General features: G+C 42.5%; 1 protein-coding gene across 1 annotated transcript; it reads left to right on the forward strand.

The window, feature by feature from the left end:
• Nucleotides 702–21,904, forward strand: BPY2 (basic charge Y-linked 2). The gene is made up of 9 exons (NM_004678.3): nucleotides 702–732; nucleotides 1,008–1,130; nucleotides 4,196–4,332; nucleotides 8,742–8,860; nucleotides 10,920–11,037; nucleotides 13,891–13,996; nucleotides 14,689–14,813; nucleotides 21,364–21,488; nucleotides 21,583–21,904. The coding sequence occupies exons 4-7, from the start codon at nucleotides 8,783–8,785 to the stop codon at nucleotides 14,705–14,707; spliced, it is 321 nt and encodes a 106-aa protein (NP_004669.2). The 5' UTR covers nucleotides 702–732; nucleotides 1,008–1,130; nucleotides 4,196–4,332; nucleotides 8,742–8,782; the 3' UTR covers nucleotides 14,708–14,813; nucleotides 21,364–21,488; nucleotides 21,583–21,904.

Consider the following 23,382-nt stretch of genomic DNA (forward strand, 5'->3'; position numbering starts at 1 on the left):
GCACATAGGATAGGATAGTCACATATTCATAGGCCAGGCACACAGGTGATGATACTTTTTTTTTTTGCCAGGGCCATGCCCAAAAGAAGGCATTTTGACATATCAAAGGGCCTATCATGCAGGTAATATGACTCTTCTGCTTGGGATCTGCCCACCTGCATAGTGACACATTGCTAGGCCAGACACAAAGGTGATGGTACTGTTCAGCCAGGGACAGGCTTTAAGAAAAGTTTTATGGCTGGGCATGGTGGCTCACACCTGTAATCCCAGCACTTTGGGAGGCCGAGGCGGGTGGATCACGAGGTGAGGAGATCGAGACCATCCTGGCTAACACGGTGAAACCCCATTTCTACTAAAAATACAAAAAAATAAGGCAGGTGCCATGGCAGGTGCCTGAAGTCCCAGCTACTTGGGAGGCTGAGGTGGGAGAATGGCGTGAACCCAGGAGTCGGAGCTTGCAGTGAGCCGAGATCGTGCCACTGCACTCCAGTCTGGGCAACAGAGCGAGGCTCCATCTCAAAAAAAAAAGAAAAAAGGAAGAAAGAAAAGAAAAGCTTTGTGACATATCTCTATGCCTATCACCTAGGTGATGTGACTTCCTGCTTGACCCTGCCCACATGGAGCATTGTGACATATGTGTGGAACCTGCACTTAGGTGATGTAACTCTCTTGACTGGGTCCTTTTCTAAGGGGGGCTTGTGAATATCTCAGGACCCAGGACCATGTGATATGGTATTCAGCCTTGTTTTTTCCCACATATTAAAGTGTGACATATACCTAAAGAAGCACCTAGGTGATATGATTCTCTTTTTCTGCCTGATCCCTGCCTACTGGTGACATTCGGCCATATCTCTGAGCACATAACCTATATGATGTGACTCTCTTATTCTGTCTGCGCTTTGACAATAAGAAGACTGTGAAATGTTAATGAGCCCAGCACTTAGGTAACGTAAGTCTTGTCTGGTTGCTGAACAACCCCCACAAACAAGACTTTTGCTGTATTTCAGGGCCCAACACCTGGATGATGTTACTCTTCTGCCTAGGTCATGCGTAAAGAGGGAATTAGGGCATATTGCTTGGCCCAGTCCCGTAATGATATGACTCTCCTGCTTGTGCCAGAGCCACAGAAGGTATTTTGATATATCTTGTTCCCTTTCTGTACGTGTTTTGGCTCTCATAACTTTGCTGGTATTCTTCCACGTGTTGTTGTAGCATATTGCTGGTTCCAGCCCCCAGTTAATGTGACCCTCTTTCCTAGGCCCTGCCTAGGTAGAGTATTGTGACATATTGCTTGGAACAGCACCTAAGTGATGTTAACCTTCTGCCTAGATTTTGCCCACAAATGGGGTTATGACAGATACCTTGATTCAGTTCAAAAACATGATGATCAAGCTTATATCGGGATTCAGCCAACAGGAGATATTTTGCCTTGCATTGCTAGGTTTACATCAATAAGTTAGTCCCTTCATTGCATATTTATACAGAGCTCAGAGAAACTTACAACACTGATTCATATCATAAAACCTTCCTGGGTGGTACAGAGATATTTATGACGGATCCCAACAAAAAATTGAGATTGTGAATCTCCACTACACATTCAAATGCAAGTAAAAGTTGTTATCTTCTCACATTTACAAATCTCATTGTTAAGGTCCTGAGTCTAACAAGTGAATACAGGACCAAGTTGGAGTTGTGATTTTCAAAAGCTAATCTTGTCACGGGTGGGATGGTGACTCATACATATCTGGTCCCAGGTCACAGGCTTAAAAACAGTCTCATCTCTGAAGCCAGCCTAGAGAAGAGATGTTGAGAGTCATACCTTGGTTTAGGGCAATATGTAAGATCATGAGTTCATATAAGCATGTGGGCCTCAGAGAGGTTTTCAACTCTCAGGCATGTTGTATAGTGTTCTCAGATATTGCAGAGAATGTCATACAAGGGTCAGCACACACATGAGATTGTGACTGTCATATAAACAACTAGCTAACCATTAATTGTGTCACCGTTAAAGGTGAAGAGATTGTGTCATATCACTTGGCGTCATACCCCAGTGTTGAGACATTTTTGTTTAAATTCCTTTCCAAAAGGGCATTGTCACATATCACTGGGTCAGAATAATGATAATGGCCTTGAAAACAGGGGATATTTTCACACACCCCCAAGCCTATTGGCCAGGTGATATGTCTCTCCTGCTAGTGCATTGCCCACAGGGGACATTGTGATATATCACTAGATACAGCATCTAGGTAATACTCCTGCCTGGAACCTGTCCACCAAATAAATTGTGACATACAACTGAGTGCAAAACCTAGGTGACATGACTCTCCTATTTGTCCTGGACTCTGCCAAGACAGGGAATTTCTACATATTGCTGAGCCCAGCACCCAGGTGTTGTGATTCTTTTTTTACTTTTATTTTTCATCAAATCTGTCTACATTGGGCATGGTGACATATTACCTGAGGGTCTACCCAGGTGATGTGGCTCTTCAGCCTGATTTCTGCTCACATGTTAGATTGTGACATACAACTAGGAAAGCACCTAGGTATATGACTCTCCTTTTCAGCCCATGCCCTGCCCTACTGGGAGAGTGGGATCTATCTCTGAGCCCAAGACCTAAGTGAAGTGACTCTCTTCTTCAGTCTGGTCTTTGCAGTGACGGCATTGTGACATATTGCTGAGCCCAGCACTCAGATTTATTGACAGCTATTTCTCTTGAACCATGCAAACAAACAGAAATGTTGACCTATTGCAGGGCTCAGCACACATATAATGTTACTCTTTTGCCTGGATTTTGCGTACACGGAGAATTATGGCATATACTAATATATAATAATAGCACACTAAAAATGTGACTGTCATGCTTTCCTGCAGCTACAGAAGGCATTTTGACATATACTGAGCTTATTCTGTAGATGTCTTGGCTCTGATTTTTTGCCTGTTCTTTTTCTACATATGGGATTGTGTCATATTGCTGTGTCCAGTACCCAGTTAATATGACTTAATTCCTATACGCTGCCTAGAGATGGCATTGTGGCATGATGCTTGGCACAGCACAGTGATGTTACACCCCTGCCTAGTTTTGGCCCACAAATAGGATTATGACATATACCTTACTTCAGTTCACAGGCATGATGGTCTAAATTACACTGGGAATCAGCCAAAGGAGATATTTTGCCTTTTATCACTAGAACAAGGGAAATAGGTGAGGTTGTGGGTTGCATATTTGTACCAAACTCAAAGACCTTTACAACACTAACTCATAATGTATAAATGTGTGGAGTACAGAGAGTTTCATGACAGGGAGTAGCAAAAATTCAGATTGGGACTCTCGATTACACAACCAAGTAAAAGCAAACGTTGTCACTATTCCATATGTCCAAACCTCACTGTTAAGGTCTTGAGTCTAACAAGTGAATACAGTACAACATCAGAATTGTGACCTTCATATGTGGATCTGGCCACGGGTGGGATGGTGACTCATTTCTGGATCCAGCTTACAGGCATAATAAACTGTCTCATCCCTGAACCCAAACTGCAGAAGAGATGTTGACTATTATACCTGAGTTTAGGGTAATATGTAAGATCATGAATCCATACAAACATGTAGGCCTCAGAGTGGTTTGCAACTCTCACGCATGCTGTATAAAGCCTTCAAATGTCACAGAGTGTCAATCAACAGCCCAGGAAACACATGAAATTGTTATATTCATGTAGACAGTCAGTTCACAGTTAATGGTGTCACCCTCAAAGGCAACAAAATTTGGTATATTACTAGGCCATGTACCCACCTGTTGAGACATTTTGGCATAAATTCTTTCCCACAGGTGCACTGTGACGTATCACTGGGTTCATATCATTGTAATGTGACTCTTCTGTCTGGACCCTGCCAACAGGGGATATTATCACATATCTCTGGACCTATAAGTAGGGGAATTTTTCTCTCCTGCATGTTCCCTGCCCCCAGAAGGCATTGGAAAATATTAACTTAACATCTGGGTCACGTGATTCTACTCTCCTGCCTGGGTGTGGCTCACCAAAGAAGTTGTGACATAGCACTGATTGCAAAATCTATGTGATGTGGCTTTCCTTCATATTCTAGACTCTTCCAAGCCAGCAGATTATTACAGTTTGCAAAGCCCAGCACTGAGGTAGAGTAGAGTGACACTCCTCTTTTTCTTTTTTTCCTGGCAATAGTGTGCTTGGTGACATAATCTTTGAGGCTGTCACATCACCAAGATTATATTGTATCACTGGACCAGCATAAAGCTGACACTTCTGACTATGCCCAGCCTTCAAATAATACTACACTGTATAATTGGCTCAACACCCAGGTAATGTGACTTTCCTTTCTTGTCCCTGCTCACAGGCCAAGTTTTGACATATATCTGGGTTAAGCACACATGCAGAATAATAACTCTCATACCTGGACCCAGCCAGTAGAGATAATTGACTCTCATAGGCAGTCTCACGACAATGGGTTATGTCCTGAGTTTTTCAACTGTATAAAGTTCACAAAGGATTATAACACTCGGGTATATCATATACAGCCTTAATTGTACAATGAGTGTCATAAGAGAGGCCAGAAATGAAGTGAGAATGGGACTTTTAAATGCACACCCAGCTGACATGATTGTCATTCTCACACATGAACAGGGCGTAGGAATGAGATACTAATCTCACACATAAAAAAACAGTCAAATGTTTAAATAATTACTCTTACACATAGATCTGATTCACAGGTGGTTTGGTAAAGTTTGAACCATGATTCAGCACACCTGTGGTGTTGTGTCTTCCCTACTGGAACACAGTCTTCAAGGGGGATTGGGGCTCCTATACATGAATCTTGACCATTGTTGAGATTGTGACTCCTCTACTAAGATCTACCTCATAGAAAGAGTTGGCTCAGGTACAGGAAACTAGGTGTTGTGTGGCATGTGAAACTTATTTCCAAGCATATCTGAGAGTGTGATTTGGACAGGTAACCATGTCCAGCACATGAATAATCTGACTCTCTTTTCTAGGCCCAGAACTCGGATGAAATAGTGCCCTATGTTGAACAAGCACCTAAGAAATATGTAATACCTTCTTTGGCCTTGTCTGCAAAGGGCACTTTCATATATCACTGGGACCATCACCCAGGTGATGTGAATTATCTGCCTAAAACCTGCCTACAAGAGGAATTGTGTTTTATATCTACATCCACCATGAATTGAAGTGACTCCCTTCTACTGCCTTGGCCCTGCCCTTACAGTGCATTTTGACACATAAGCAGAAACTGTGTCCAGGAGATCATTGTCCTTTTTGCGTTCTGCCAACTGGAACATGGTAACATATCACTTAGCTCAGAATGTAGGTGATGTTTCCTCGCATTGTCCTCGCCCTGACCACAGGGAGATTGTGACATATTTCTGGGTCCAGCACCCTTGTGAGGTCACTCTCCAGCCTTGGTAATGCACATAAGAAGCATTGTGACAAATAGCTAGGCCAATTGCCCAAGTGAAGTGAGTGTCCTCTCTAGCAAAAATCCTGCCCAGAGAAGAGGTTTTGATATTTCACTGACACCAGCATCCAGGTGATTTGACTCTTCTGCCAGGGTCCTGTCCACAAGGTAGACTGTGACTTCTCACTGAATCCACACCCATGTAGCTGATGAGATTTTCTTCTCTTCTCTCTGGCCACTGCCGATATTGTGCCTTATACAAGAGACCATAAATAAAAGCCTAATAACAACACATATATCTGGAGCCAGGACATGTGCAGCATGGTGACTCTTAGTCTTAAAGCGATACACAAGTGTAACTGTGACATATACCTTTACCCAGCTCCTTAGTGATTTAATAATTCTGCATAGGTATAGCATCAAAATGAGATTTTGACAAATCCTTGGTATAAGCATCTTCATGATTTGACTGTGTTATCTTAATAATATCCACAGGCGTGACTGTAACGTATTTCTGGCCCATCACATAGGTTACATGACTGTTCTCTCCCACCTGTACATGATTTTCTTTGGTAACTGTATCATTTCTAAACACTGTATCCAAATGATATGACTCTCTTGCCTGGGCCCTGTCAAGAGGAGGCATAGTGACATATTTTGGGTTCCATCATTTACCTGATATGGCAGCTCTCCTCTCCTGCTTGGACACTGCCAATAAGGGACACTGTGCCACCAAGCTGGATCTAGCACACAATTTATGTGGCATTTCTACAGGATCCTGCCTACAAAGAGAATATTGGAATATTTCTGGCCAAGAATTTAGGTGATGTGATTGTTCTGCCTGCTTCATAACCACAGAGAGTAATATTTGTACACAGAGAGTTGCATATTTGTACAAAGTCCAAAGATTACAACACTAACTTATATTGTATAAACTCATTGGTGGTAAAAACTTTCATAACAGGGCCCAGTAGAAAGTTCAGATTTGGAGTACTGATTATACACCCCAGTAAAATTAAAAGTTGTCACCATCCTACATATACAATGCCCACTGTGGAATACGGCACAAAGTTGCAATTGTGAATTTATATGTGGATCTGTCTGGAGGTGGGATAATAATGGGTCTTCTCCTTTAACCCTACATATAAAAGAGATGCTGACTATCAAATCTGAATTGAGGGCAATGTGTAAAATTGTGAACCCATATGAGCATGCAGGTCGCTGAGAGGTTTACAACTCTCATGCAGGTTTTATAAAGCCCTCGGATGTAAAGAGTGTCATACATTGGCCCAGCATACATGTGAGATTGTGATTCTAATATTCAACCTTAGCTGAAAGTTAAAGGTGTCACCCTAAAAGATGAGGAGAGTGTGTCTTATCACTAGGCCTGGTAACCAAGTGTTGAGAATTAGGGCTTAAATTTTGCCCATAGGTGCATTGTGAATTATCACTGGGTCAGAATCCTAATAATGTGAAACTTCTTCTTGGACCCAGCCAACAGGGGATATTATCACGTATCTCTGGGCCTATCAGCTAGGTGATGTGGTGTCTCTCATGCCAGTGCCCTGCCACAGTGGACACTGGGACATATCACTATAGTATCTAGGTAATGTGACTCTCCACTCCTGCCTGGATTCTGGCCACTGAAGAAATTTTGACATACCACTGAGTGCAAAACCTAGGTGATGTGACTCTCTTCTTTGTCTTGGACTCTGCCAGTGAGCTTTGTCTTGAACTCTGCTAATGAGGAAATAATAAAATATTGCTGAGCCCATCACCTAGGGGCGTGACAATCCTCTATTTTTCAATCCAGGGTTTAGTGGTCATGATAATATTATCTGAGACTGTATCCAGGTGATATGACTGTTCTGACTGGGTCCTGACTAAAAAGGAAATTATAACGTATCCCTTGCTCAGCAACCAGATAATGTAACTCTTCTCTCTTGTCTCTGTCCAAAGGTGAAATTGTGATGTATACCTGGATTCAGCTCATATAATAACTGGATTCAGCACAATAATAACTCTCATACCTAGACCTAGCCAGTGGGAGATATTTGACTTTCACAGGCAGTCTTAAGGCCATGGGTAAAGTCCTAGATCTCCCACCTGTAATAATTTACGGGAAATTATACTACTCAGGCATATCATATAAAGCCTGAATGTTACAAAGAGTTTCATAACAGGTACCTGCAACCAGGTTCCATTGTGACTCTTGGATGCATAGACAACTGACATGATTTTCATCTTCACACATGTACAGAGCCTACAAATGAGGTAGTAAATCTCACACACATAAGCAGTTGAAGCTTGAAATTGTTACTCTCATACACGAATCTGATCCATAGGTGATTTGGTGATGTTTGAACTATGATTTAGTCAAACTGTGGTACTTTGACTTTCCTACTGGAACACAATCTTCAAGTGGGATTGAGACTCTTCTATGTGGATCTTTCCTATTTTTGAGATTGTGACACCTGTACTTCAACCCAACTTATAGGAGGTGTTGACTCTCATACCCAAATCCAGGACTTGTGTGGGACTGTGAAACTTATTTCTGAACATTTTTGAGTGTGTAACTGAGAAGTATAACTTTGCACAGAATCTGAGTGTTTTGACTCTCCTTTCTAGGCCCAGAGCACAGTTGAAATTGTGACTTACATGCACCAAGCACCTAAGCAATAAGTAACATCTTTTTTGGTAATGAAACATAGGGCACTTTTACATATCACTGAGATCAGCACTTGGCTGATGTAAAATCTTGGCCTGAGGCCTGCCTACAGAGAGCACTGTGGTTTTTATATAAGTTGATTACTTAAGTGACATGACTTCCTTCTACTGTCTTGGCCCTGCACTTCTGGTGGTGGATTGTGACACGTAACTAGGTACTGCACCCAGGTGATGTGACTTTTTTGGAGAATGAAGTTTCTGCCAGTAGGAAGCTTTGTAACGTATTACTTGGCTCAGCGACTAGGTGATATTTCTTTTCTCTTGCCTGTGCCCTGACCGCCAGAGAGATTGTGACATGTTGCTGAACCTAGCACCAAAGCGAGGGTTACTCCCCTGCCTTGATCCTACACATAGGGGCCATTGTGACGTATATTCAGGCCAATTGCCTAAGTGAAGTTTGTCTTCTCTCCTGCCTAAGTTCTGCTCACAGGGGGGATCTTATATGTCACTGAAACCAGCATCCGGATGATGTGACTCTTCTATCAGAGTCCTAGCCACAAGGACAATTGAGACATTTCACTGGACCAGCATCCACTAAGGTGATGGAACTTTCCTTTTTCTCTCTGCCCACAGGTGATATTGTTCCATTTACCTGAGACCAGATAAAAAGCCTAATGATGACGCTTGTCCCCAGAGCCAGGACACGTGCAGGACAGGATCATTACTCTCATCCCTGCCCCAGATTTTCACAGGTACTATTGTGACATACACCTTTACCCAGCTCCTGAGTGATTTAATAATCCTGCCTTGTTATAGCCCGCAGATGACATTTGGACCTACACCTTTCCCAGGAACCTTTGTGATTTTACTCTTGTGTCCTAACAGGTTCTCGGAAGTGATCATAACATATCTCTGGAGCCATTGTCTAGGTTACATGACTCTCCTCTTCTGCATGAACCCTGCTTCCAGTGAAGAGTAGCATTTCTAAGCACTGCACCCAAATGACATGAGTCTCTTGTCTGGGCTTTTTAAAGGGGGGGCTTTGTGATATCTCTCTGGGCCCTTCATTTAGGTGATATGACTCTCCTCTACTGCCTGGACACACTCCACAAAGGGCATTATGCCATAGAGCTGAGTCTAGCACCTAAGTTTTGTCATATTTCTGTTAGGGCCCTCTCTACAAAATAAAGTTGGGGTATTTCTGGCTTAGGATTTAGGTGATGTCGTTTTCTGCCTGTTTAATTACCACAGATGAGATGGCGCCGTATCTGTAGACACATCTAAAATACATGATAAGGACTCTCATATGTGAACCCAGCCAATAGGAAACATTTTGACTCTTATAACTAGGCTTAGGGAGATAAGTGATATCCAGCATCTCCTTCTGGTAAAAAGGTCACAGAAGATTACAACATTCACACATATTTTATAACATCCTTGTGTCGTATAGAGAGAGTCATAACAGGGCCTAGCACATGGAGAAAATTGGGATTCTCATATGTACATTCAGCTGACAGTAACGGCTTTCACCATTACAGATGATGAAGGCAATTGTCCCACATAAAAATAGAACACGCCTGATATTGTAAATCTAATCCCTAGAATTTTATTCCATCATGACTGATATAAATCTTTGCCAAGTGCCTGTGTGAGTTCACCCTTCAGATTGGTTCCAGCCTACCTATGGGATTTTGGTATCTACCTAAGCCAACCTTGAAGTGACGTGACTCTTTTGCCTGGGCCCTCCACTCAGAATTATAACATCATTGGATCCAGCACACAGGTGACGTTACATTCTTGCTTGCGCCATGCTCGCAGATATCATTGTGACATATTGCAGTGTCCATCAGTTAGAAGATGTCACTCTCCTCTCTGGAAAGGGCCTTGAACACTGGGCAAAATAGTGACCTGTTTCTAGGCCAGGCACACAGGTGATGATGCTCTTTTCCCAGGGCTATGCCCAAAAAAGGGCATTTGACATATCACAGGACCTATCGTGTAGGTGATACGGCTCTTCTGCTTGAAACTTGCCCAATTGAATAGTGACATACTGCTAGGCCAGGCACAATGGTGATGGAACTCTTTTGCCAGGGCCATGCTTTCAAAAATGCCTTGTCATATATACCTGGTCCTATCACCAAGGTGATGTGACTTCCTGCTTGGTCCTGCCCACATGAAGTATTGAGACATAAGCGTGGAATCTGCACCTAGGTGACATAACTCTCTTGCCTGGGTCCTTTTCTAAGAGGGACTTGTGAATACCTCAGTACCCAGGACCACATGATGTGGCTCTTCAACCTGGTTTTCACCCACATATTAAATTGTGACATATAGCTAAAGAAGCATCTAGGTAATATGACTCTTCTTCTGTCTGAACCCAGCCTACTGGTGATATTGGGCCATATTTCTAAGCCTGTGACCTAAGTGATGTGACTCTATTTTTGTCTAGGGCTTTACAATGGTAAGATTATGAGATATTGATGAGCTCAGCATTTAGGTAATGTGACTCTCATCTTGTAACTGAACAACGCCCAGGAACAGATCTTTTGCCGTATTTCAGGGCCCAGTACCCAGATGAAGCTGCTCTTCTGCCTAGGTTGTGCATAAAGAGAAAATTGTGGCATATTTCTTGGCCTAGAACCCTAATGATGTGACTCTCCTGCTTGTGCCAGGACCGCAGAAGGTATTTCGACATATCTTTGGCCCATTTTCTAGGTGTTTTCACTCTTACCACTTTGCTGAATTTCTTCCACGTGTGGTTGTATTATATTGCTGACTCCAGCCTGCAGTTAATGTGGCCCTCTTTCCTAGGTGCTGCTTACAGAGGGCATCATGACATATTGCTTGACAAAGAACCTAAGTGATGTTAATATTCTGCATAGGTTGCTAAAAAATGGGAATGTGAGAAATACCTTGCTTCAGTCCAAAGGTATGATGATCAAGCTTATGTTGGGATTCAGCCAATAGGAGAGATTTTTCCTCTCACCACCAGGTTTAGGTCAAAGAGTCAGGTTACTCATTGCACATTTCTACAAAGCTCACAGTAGTTTACAACACTAACTCATGTAATAAAAATTTCCTGGGTGATACAAAGGGTTTCTTAACAGTGCCCAGCAAACAGTTAAGATTATGATTCTTGACTGCACACTCAGATGAAAGTAAGTTTTTACCATCCTACATCTACAAAGCCCATTGTTGAGATCCTGAGTCTAAGCAAATACACCACAAAGATGGAGTTGTGACTTTCATAAATGAATATGGCCGCAGGTGGGATGGTGACTCATTTTTGGAGCCAACTCTCAGTCATAATAATGATCTCATCCCTAACACCAGTCTATAGGAGAGATGCTGACTGTCATACCTGGGTTTAGGGCAATATGCATAATCATAATTCTGTAAATGCCTGTAGGCCTCAGAGAGGATTGCAACTCTCATGCATGTTGCATAACGTTCTCAGGTATTATAGAGAGTGTCATACAATGGCAAGCACACACATGAGATTGTGACTCTCTTATACACAGATAGCTAACATTTAATGGTGTCACCCTTAAAGATGAGGAGATTTTGTCATATATCTTGCCCTACTAGCTGGTGTTGAGAACTTTTAGTTTAAATTTCATTCCATTAGGGCATTGTTACATATCACTGGGTCAGAATCAAAATAATGTGACTCTTCTTCCAGGGCCCTGCAAACAGAGGATATTTTCCCATATCTCCAGGCCTATTGGCTATGTAATATGTCTCTCCTGCCAGTACTTTGCCCAGAGGAGACACTGACATATTGCTGGATTTAGAATCTAGGAAATTTGACCCATCTTTACTGCCTGGATCCTCCTCACTGAAAAAATTGTCATATACCATTGAGTGCAGAGCCTAGGTGACAGAAGTCCCCTTTTTTTCCTGGACTCTGTCAAGAGAGGGAATTGTTACATATTGGTGAGCAGAGCACCCACGTGGTGTCATTATCTAATTTTATAAGAAACCTATCTATGCTGGGGATGGTGACATATTACTTGCAGTTGTACCCAGGTGATGTGGCTCTTCTGCCTGGTTTCTGCCCGTGGGTAAGGTTTTTGGCATATAACTAGGGAAACATTTAGGTGATATGAGTCTCCCTTTCTGCCTGGGCCCTGTTCACTGGGTACACTGGACTATATCTCTGAGCCCATGAACTAAGGGAAGTGACTCTCTTTTTCTGCTGGGTCTTTACAATGGAGAGATTGTGAAATATTGCTCAACCTAGCAATCAGGTTATTTGATTCACCTTTTTTTTTTTTAATCTCAAATCATGCCCACTAACAGAAATTTTGGCCTATTGCAGGGCCCAGCACCCAGATAATGTTACGCCTTTACGTGGGTCCTGTATGTAGAGAATATTATAACATACTGCTGGGCCCAGCATCCTGAAAATATAAAACTCATGACTTTGCTGGAGGCAGAGAAGGTATTTTCACAGATCCTGGGCCCATTATGTAGGTGTTTTGGCTCTTATCTTTTTGCTGTTTTTTTTTTTTTTTTTTTCACTTTTGTTTTTGTTTGTTTCCACATAATGGATTGTTTCATATTGCTGAGTCCAGAACTCAGTTAACATGACTCTAATTCCTCTATGTTACCTAGAGAGGGCACTGTGGCATGTTGCTTGGCACAACACCTAAGTGATGTTACCCTCGGGCCTACTTTTTTTGCTCACAAATGGGACTATGACTTCAGTTCACAGGCATGATGGTCAAATTTATACTGAGATTCAGCCAATAGGAGATATTTTACCTTTCATTGCTAGGCTTTGGGCAATACATAAAGTCTGGGTTGCATATTTGTACCAAGCTCACAGAGCTTTACAACACTAACTCATAATGTATGAACTTCTTTGTTGGTATAGAGAGTTTGGTGATAGGGACCAGTGAAGAGTTCAGTTTGAGATTCTTGATTACACACCCAGGTAAAAGCAAGTGCTGTCATCATTCTACATGTCCAAAGGCCATTGTTAAGAACCTGAGTTTTACAAATGAATGCAGTGCAAAGTTGGAATTGTGACTTTCGTATGTGGATCTGGCACAGGTGGGATTGTGACTTATTTCTAGATCCAGCTCACAGGCATAAAAATGAGTCTCATTTCTAACCCAGCCTATAGAGGAGATGCTGACTATTATACCTGGGTTTAGGGGAATATGTAAGGTCATGAATCCATGTGAATATGTAGGCCTTAGAGTGGTTTGAAACTCTCATGCGTGATGTATAAAGCTTTTGAAAATTGTTGAGAGTCATGCAACGGCCCAGGATACTAGTGAAATTGTTACTCTCATATACACACCCAGCTCAGAGTTTATAATGTCACTCTCAAAGACAAGGGGATTTGGCCTATTAATAGGCATAGTGCTTAGGTGTTGAGACTATTTGGCTTAAATTCCTTTCCTTGGGTGGATTGTAACATATCACTGTGTTAGAATCATAATGTGTCTCTTCTGTCTGGACCCTGCCAAAAGGGGATATTATCACATATCTATGGGTCTATAAGCTAGAGGATTTGTCTCTTCTGACAGTGTCCTGCACCCAGAAGACATTGTGAAATATTGTTTGGCTTAACATCTAGGTAATGTGACTCTCACCTCCTGCCTGAGCCTTGCTCAGCAAACAAATTGTGACATACCGCTGATTGAAAAACCTACATGATGTGACTCTCCTTCATATTCTAGACTCTACCAAGAGAGAGGGTTGTTACATATTGCGGAGTCCAGCACATAGGTGGACTGACTGTCCTCTCTTTTTTCTTCCCTGTCCATAGTGGGCTTGCTGACATATTATGTGAAACTGTACCCGGGTGAAGTGACTCTTCTGACTAGGCCCAGCATACAAATGAGATTATGCTGTATCACTGGCTCAGTGTCGAGGTGAGTTGACTCCCTTTCCTTGTCTCTGCTTACAGGTGAAATTTTGACACGTACCTGGGTTAAGCACGCATGGACAAAAATAACTCTCATACCTGGGCCCAGCCTGTAGGAATATTTTGACTCTCATAGCCAGTCTCACGGCCATGGGTAAAGCCCTGTGTTTTTCACTTGTATAAAAGTCACGAAGGATTATAATACTCAGGTATATCATATAAAGCATTAATGGTGCAAAGAGTGTCATAACAGAGACCAGCAACCAGGTAAGAATATGACTCTTGTATGCACACTTCACTGAAATGATTGTCATTCTCGCATATTAACAGGGTCTAGGAATGAGGGACTAAATCTCACACATAAAAAGCAGTCGATGTTTGAAATAATTACTCACCTACATGGACCTGATCCACAGGTGGTTTGTTAACATTTGAACCAGGATTCAGCACACCTGTGGTGCCGTGACTCCCCTCCTGGACCACAATGTTCAAGGGGGATTGCGGCTCTTATACATGAATCTTGCCCATTGTTGAGATTTTGACTCCTCCATTTTGATCCAACTTACAGAAAGAATTGACTCACATACACAAAACCAGGACTTGTGTGGGATGTGAAACTTATTTCCGAACATATATGAGAGTGTCATATTGGGATAGGTCACTTTGTCCAGCAAATGAATAATTTGACTCATTTTCTAGGCCCAGATCACAGAAGTAATTGTGCCATATGTGGAACAAGCAGCTAAGCAATAGATAACATCCATCGTGGCTCTGCCTTCAAAGGGAAATTTTACATATGTCACTGGGACCATCACCCAGATGATGTGAGTTATCTGCCTGAAACCTTTCTACAAAAGGAATTTTGTTATATATCTAGGTCCATCCTGTAAGTGATGTGACTCTCTTCTACTTCCTTGGCCATGCACTTACAGGGCATTGTGACAAAGAACTGGGTACTGCATTCAAGTGATGTGATTCTTCTTTTTGGGTTCTGCCAACAGGAAGCATTGAACATATCACTTGGCTCAGTACCTAGGTGATGTTTCTTCACTTTCGCCTTGGCCCAGACCACAGGCAGATTGTGACATATTTCCTGGGACAAACACCTATGTGAGGCCACTCTACAGTTTGGTTACTGCACGGAATAGACATTGTGGCAAACATCTAGGCCAACTGCCTTTGTGAAGTGAGTCTCCTCTCTTGCCAAAGCCCTGCCCAGAAGAGAGGCTTTTGATATGTCACTGAAATCCAGGTGCTGTGGCTCTTCCACCAGGTTCCTACCCACAAGGTGAATAGTGATGTCTTAGTGGCCCAGACCCACATAGGTGATGGGACTTTCTTGTGTTCTCTCTGGCCACAGGTGATATTCTGCCATGTGCCAGAGACCAAAACAAAAGCCTAGTAACAACTCATATGACTAGAGCATACGACTTGTGCAGGATGGTGACTCTTAGACTTAAGCCTTTCCACAAGTCTGATTGTGACATATACCTTTGCTCAACTCCTGAGTGATTTAATAATTCTGCCTAGGTATAGCAAATGAGATTTTGACAGATACATTGGTCAAGCACCTTGGTGATCTGGCTGATGTATCTTGAAATGTCCTCAGGGGCTCTTGTAACATATTTCTGTGCCCTTCATCTAGGTTACGTGACTCTTCTCTCCTGCCTGTACCCTGCTTCTTTGGTGGATTGTAGTATTTATAATCCCTGCATCCAAATGATATGACACTCTTGCCTGGGACCTGTCAACAGGAAGAATTGTGACAAAATTTTGGGCCCATCATTTAGGTGATATTACTCTCCTCTCCTGCCTAGACACTGTCCACAAGGGATATTGAGCCATAGAGCTGGACATAGCACATAAGTTATGTGATATTTCTGAGAGGGCTCTGACTACAAAAAGAATATTGGAATATTTCTGACCCAGCATTTATGTGATATGGCTGTCAGGCCTCCTTCTTAACCACAGAGTGAATTGTAACATATACCTATGCATGGCTCACAGCCATGATAATGACTCTCATGTGTGGACTCAGCCAATAGAGGATATTTTGCATCTTATAACTCAGTTTAGGGACATGCATGATGTCCTGGATCTCCTTCTTGTACAAAGGTCACAAAATATTACAACACTCATACATATTTTACAAAGTCTTTGGGTCATACACACAAAGTCAAAGCAGGGCTCAGCACACAGATGAAATCATGAGTCTTGTTTGCACACCCAGCTGAAAGTAAGAACTCATTATCTCACATGGATAAAGGTAACTGTCACACATGAAACAGGGCATGTGTGGTAAGATGGTAAATCTCATCTTTGGAATTTTCTGACAGTGTGAGTATGATATAAATTTTTGCTAAGCACTTGTGTAATCTGAGGCTCCGGACTTGTTCCAGCTCATAGGTGGGGTTATGAAATCTACCTAGGCCAACCTCGAGGTGACATGACTTTCCTGCCTTGTCCTATCTCTCAGTAATGATTGTGACATATCACTGGACCTAGCTCCCAGGTAACGTTACATCCTTACTTGCACCCTGCCCACCAAAATTATTGTGACATATTTCTGTGTTTACCTCATAGTTGATGTGAGTCTCCTCTCTGGAATGGGCACTGCACAACAGAATGATAGTGACATAGCGCAAGGACCGGCGCACAGGCAAGGTTCCTCCTTATCCTGTGGATGCCTGGAGGAGGGCAATGTGACATATCTCTGGGTCTATCACCTACATTATGTGGCTCTCCTGCTAGGGTCCTTCCAACCTCGAAAGTGACACGCTTCTAGGCCAGGCACACAGGTGATGGTACCCTTTTCCAGGGCTATGCTTCACACAGTACATTGTGACATATCTCTGGGCCTATCACCTAAATGAAGTGACTCTCTCCCTGGGTCCTAACCAGATGAAGCATTGTGTCATAAGCAGAGACCCTTCACCTAGTATGATGTATTTCTCTTAGCTAGGTGCTGTGTTAAGAGCACTTTGTGACATATCACAGGACCCAGCACCCAAGTGATGTGGCTCTTCTGCATAGTTTCTGCCCCCATGTTAAATTGTGACATATTTTGATGGAAGCACATAGGTGATATGGCTGTCCTCATCTGCCTGAGCTCTGCCTCGTTGGAGTATTAGGACATATCTCTGAGCCCATGACCTAAGTGATGTGACTCTCTTTTCCTTCCTGGGCCTTCATAAAAGGAGGATTTTGTCACATTGCTGAGCCCAGGACTCAGGATATGTGACTCTCGGCTGTCCTCACCTGCCTGAGCTCTGCCTAGTTGGAGTATTAGGACATGTCTCTGAGCCCATGACCTAAGTGATGTGACTCTTTTTCTTCCTGGGCCTTCATAAAAGGAGGATTTTGTCACATTGCTGAGCCCAGGACTCAGGATATGTGACTCTCGGCTGTCCTCACCTGCCTGAGCTCTGCCTAGTTGGAATATTAGGACATGTCTCTGAGCCCATGACCTAAGTGATGTGACTCTGTTTTTCTTCCTGGGCCTTCATAAAAGGAGGATTTTGTTACATTGCTGAGCCCAGGACTCAGGATCTGTTTCTCTTCTCTTTCTCCTGAACCATGCCTACAAAAAAGAAATTTGACACATATTATTGCCCAGCATGCAGATCATGTTACTCTTCTGCATGGGATCTGCATAAAGAGATAATTATGGCATATTGTATATTGCTGGGCCCAGCACCCTTAAGATGTGATGCTCCTGCCTGTGCTGCTGATACCGAAAGTATTTTGACATATATTATGCCCATTATGTAGGTGTTTTGGCTCTCATAACTGGGCTGGGTTTCTTACACATGTGAAATTGTGTCGTATTTCTGGGTCCAGCACCCAGTTAACGTGACCCAATTTCCTACACCCTGCATACAGAAGGCATTGTGACATATTGCTGGGCACAGCATCTGAGTGATGTTACCCTTCTGCGTAGTGTTTTGCCCACATATGTCATTATAACATATACCCAGTTTAAGCTCACAGCCATGATGATCAAACTTATACTGGGATTCAGCCAATAGAAAATATTTGCCTTTCATTGTTAGGCTTGGGGCAATAGATAAGGTCCTGGGCTGCATATTTGTACCAAGCTCACAGAAACTTACACAACTAACTTACATTTTATAAACTCCTTTGTGGTAGAAATTTTTATAGCAGGGGCCAGCAAAAAGTTCAAATTGGGACTCTCGATTACACACCCAGGTGGAATTAAAAGTTGCCACCATCCCACATTTACAAAGCCCACAGTTGAGTCTTATACCTAAACCTTTCCGCAAGTGTAATTGTGACATATATTGTATTTCAGTTCCTGAGTGATTTAATAATTCTGCCTAGATATAGCCTACAAAAGCGATTTTGACAAATATCTTCATCAAGCACCTTGGTGATTTGACTGTGCTATCTAAAAAGTGTCCTCAGGCAAAATAGTCACATGTTTCTGGACCCATTATTTAGGGTATATGACTCTCCTCTTTGACCTGTACCCTGCTTCCTATAGTAATTGTACCTTTTCTAAACACTGCATTCAAATGACATGGCTCTCTTTTTTTGGAGAAACTCTCCTGTTGAGAGGCATTTTGACACATGCTTGAGCCCAGCTTTTAGGTCCTGTGACTCTCCTCTCCTGCCTAGACACAGCCCAAAATGAACATTGTGCAACAGAGTTGGATTTAGCACACAAGTTATGTGATATTTTGGACAAGACCCCTCCTGCAAAAAGAATACTGGAATATTTCTGGCCCAGCATTTAGGTGATGTGGCTGTTAGGCCTGATTCATAACAACAGAACAAATTATAACAAATACCTAGGCAGGGCTTGCAGGAATAATAATGACTCTTATATGTGGACTCATCCAACAGAGAATATTTTTACTCTTATAATTCAGTTTAGGGACATGCGTGATGTCCTGAATCACTTTCTTGTACAAACATCACAAAAGATTACAACACACACATTTTACAGAGTCTTTGGTTTATACAGAAAGAGTCAAAGCAGGGTTCAACTCAGGTGAAATTGTGAGTCTTGTATGCACACCCGCCTGACAGTAAGGACTGTCATCATCTCTCATGGATGAAGTCAACTGTCACACATGAAAACAGGACATGTGTGGTATTGTAAATCACATCTTTGGAATTTTCTGACAGTGTGATTGTGATATAAATCTTTGCTAAGCACCAGTGTAATTTGACTCTCCAGACTTGTTCCAGCCCATATGTGGGATTGTGATATCTACCTAGGCCAACCTCAAGGAGATGTGACTCTCCTGCCTGGGCCCTTCTCTCAGTAAGGATTGTACATATCACTGGATCTAGCATCCAGGTGATGTTCACATTCTTGCCTGTGCCACGCCAACCAAAATTATTGTGAACATATTTGTGTGTGCACCTCATAGGGATGAAACTCTGATCTCTGGAATGGGCCTTGCACAAAGGAAGGATGGTGACATATTGTGAAGCCAGGCATACAGCTGTGGGTACTTTTTGCCACAGCCATGCCCAAAGTAGGGCATTGTGACATATCTCTGCACCTATTACCTAGGTTAAGCGGCTCTCCTGCTTGGGCCCTGACAACCTGGAGAATGACATATTTCTAGGCCAGGCACACAGGTGATGATACTCTTTTGCCAAGACTATGCTTCACAGGGGACTTTGTGACCTATCTCTTGGGCCAATAAACTAGTTTATGGGACTAAATGCTTTGGCCTCACACACATAGAGCATTGTGACATGAAAGTGAAACCTGAACCAAGGTGATGTAACTCTTTCACCTTGGTTCTGAACTAATCGGGATTTGCAACATACCTTAGGACCCAGTACCCAGGTTATATGGCTCTTCTGTCTGGTTCTGCCCATGTGTTAGATTGAGACATACACCTAAAGAAGCACCAATGAGACACCACTCTCCTCTTCTGCCTGAATTCTGCCTGACTTCTGCCTACTGGGGACATTGGGACATGTTTCTAAGCCCATGACCTAAGTGATATGACTCTCTTCCCTTGCCTCAGCCTTTAAAATGCTGAAATTGTGATGTATTTCTGAGACCAGGATTTAGGTTATGTGACTATTTCCTTTTTTCTGAACCATGCCCACAAAGGGAAAATTTCACCTATTGCACTCAGATGATGTTACTCTTCTGCTGCAGTCCTGAATAATGAGGGAGTGATTGCATAATGGTAGGCCCAACACTCTAATGATGCTTCAGTCCCACCAGTGCCAGAGCCACAGAGGGCATTTTGACATATCTTCAGCCAAATCTGTAAGTGTTTTGGCTTTCATCCCTTGGTTGAGTTTCTTTTTTTAACAAGTAAAATTGTGTCATATTGCTAGGTCCAGCATCCAGATAACATGACCCTGCTTTCTGTATTCTGCCTAGAGACAGCACTGTGACATGCTGCGTGCCACAGCACCTAAGTGACATTACTCTTTTTGGTAATTTTTTGCCCACAAATGGGATTATAAAATATACCTTGCTTCAGTTTACAGGTATGATGGTCAAACTTACATTGTGATTCAGCAAATAGAAGATATTTTGCCTCTCATCGCAAGGCTTAGGGCAATAGGTAAAATCCTGGGTTGCGTATTTGAGGAAAGCTCACAGAACAATAATTAATATTGTATAAACTCCTTGGGTGGTACAGCGTTTCCTAACAAAGCCCAGCAAAAAGTTAAGATTGTGATTCTGAATTACACACACAATTGAAAGTAAAACTTGTCACCACCCCTCATTAAGAAAGCCCATTGCTGAGATACTGAGTCTAACAAGTAAAACAGTACAAAGATGGAATTGTGACTCTCATTTGTGGATTTTGCCACAGGTGCAACCATCACTCATTTTTAGACCCAGCTCACAGGCATAAAAATAAGCCTCATTCCTGAACTAAGCATAAATGAGAGATACTGACTCTCATATCTGGGTTTAAGGCAATATATAATATTCAGAGTCAAAATGAGCATGTGGACCTCAGAGTAGTTTGTGAATCTCACGCATGTTGTATAAAACTCTCAGATGTTCTAGAGGATATCATACAATGGCCCAGCACACACGTGACAATGTGACTTACATACATATGAGTTAACAGTTAAAGGTGTCACCCTAAAAGATGAGGAGATATTGTCATATCATTGGGCCTAGTACCCAGGTGTAAAAACTGCTTTGTTTCCCATGTGTGCATTGTGACATATCGTTGGGTCAGAATCACAATAATGTGACTTTTTACTACTTGATCCTGCCAAGTAGGGATATTGTCACATATATCTGAGCCTATTTCTTGGGTGATTTGTCTATTTTGCTTCTGCTTTTTCACCAAAGAACATTGTGACATCATCGGTGATAACATCTAGGAAATGTGATTCTTCTCTCCTGCCTAGGTCCTGCCCACTAAAAGAATTGTGACATAACGCTGACTGCAAAAACTGGGTAATGCAACTCTCCTCTTTATTCTGGAGTCTGCCAAAACAAGGGATTATCACATATTGCGGAGTCCAGCACCCAGGTGATGTGAGTCTTCTCTGTTTCTCTAAGATTATAATGTATCCTGAGCTCACCATCCAGGTGATGAGACTCTCCTGCTCTGTTTCTGCCCGCAGGTAAAATTTTGTCATATACCCAGCTTCAGATACCATGCAATAATACAACTATCATACCTGGACCCAAAGAGGAGAGATATTTTGATTCTCATTGCCATTCTTATGGCCACAAGCAAAGTAATGGTTCTCATAGTGGTATAAAGTTCACACAGTATTATGACACTCCCAGCGTATCATAGAAAATGTGAGTAGTACAATGAGTGTTATAACAGGGAACAGCAAACCAATGCTATTGTGATTATTGGATTCACACCCAGCTGACGCGACTATCATTCTCTCACAAGAACAGAACCTGCAAATAAAGTACTAAATCTCACCAAAAGAGCAGTAAAAGATTGAAATTGTTCCTCTCATATGTGGATCTGACTCACAGGTGGTTTGGGGTTGCATGGTTCAGCACATCTGTGAGGCTGGGACTCTCCCCCTGGAATGCAGTTATCAAGTGGGATTGCCATCTTCTACATGGATTATGCCCATTGTTTAGATTGTGTCTCCTCTGTTTCGACCCAACTCACAGAAGGTGTTGACTTTCATACATAAAGCCAGGACTTGTGTGGGGCTGTGAAACTTACTTCAGAATATTTCCTGGTGTATGATTAGGACTTAAAAGTTAGCCCAGGTCCTGAGTAATTTGACTCTCCTTTTTAGGCCATAACCCGAGATGAAATTGTGACATATGTGGACCAAAAACCTAAGCAAAGGTGCCTGGGCCTGCCTACAAATGTCACTTTTACATATCACTGGGATGAGCAGCCAGGAGATGTGTATTATTTGCTTGATTCCTGCCTATATAAAGCATTGTGGCTTTTATCTAGGTCCATCATGTAAGTGACGTGACTCACTTCCACTGCCTTTGCCCTGTAATTATGGTGCATTGTGACACATAACTGGATAGTACACTCAGAAAATGTGACACTCCATTCTGGGTTCTACAAACAGAAAGCTTTGTAACATATCACTTGGCTTAGCACTTAGGTGATGTTTCTACTCTCCTACCTCACCCTGACCACAGGGGAGATTGTGACATATTGATAAACCCACCTCCAAGGTGAGGTCATTTTCATACTTTGGTTTTGCACCTAGTGGCCATTGTGACATATATCTAGGCCAATTGCCTAGATGTAGGTAAAGTGATTCTCCTCACCTTCTTAAGCCCTGCCCAACAGAAGAAATTTTGACATATCACTGAAACCAGCTTCCAGGTGATATGCCTCTTCTTCCAGGGTCCTGGCCACAAGAAAGATTGTGACATCTCACTGGACCAGCACCCTCACAAGTGATGTGACATTTCTGCTTGCTCTCTGTCCATAGACGATATCATGCCATATACTTGAGAGCAAACAAGAGGACTAATCATGACTGTTAGACCTGAAGCCAGGTCACATCAAAGATGGTGACTCCCATTGCTGAAACTTTCCACCAGTGTTATTGTGACATAGTCTATTTCCCATCTCTTGAGTGACTTAATCATCTTGCCTAAATGTTGCCCACAAATGAGATTTGGACATATTACTCAGCTGAGCACCTTGGCAATTTGACTCTCCTGTCTTAAGAATATCCTCAGGAAGGATTGTAACATGGCTTTGGACCCCTCGTCTAGTTGTCTTACTCTCCTCTGCTGTCTGAACCCTCCTTCCACTGGGGATTCCAGCATCTCTAATCATGCCATCCAAATGATATGACTCCATTTCCTGGTCCCTTCAACACGAGACATTGCGGCATATCTCTGGTCCTAGCATTTAGGTGATATGAGTCTCTTCTTCTGTCTGGAAACTGCCCACAGGAGCATTGTGCCATATA

This window comes from Homo sapiens, chromosome Y, assembly GCF_000001405.40.
Source record: "Homo sapiens chromosome Y, GRCh38.p14 Primary Assembly".
NCBI classification, from domain to species: Eukaryota; Metazoa; Chordata; class Mammalia; order Primates; family Hominidae; genus Homo; species Homo sapiens.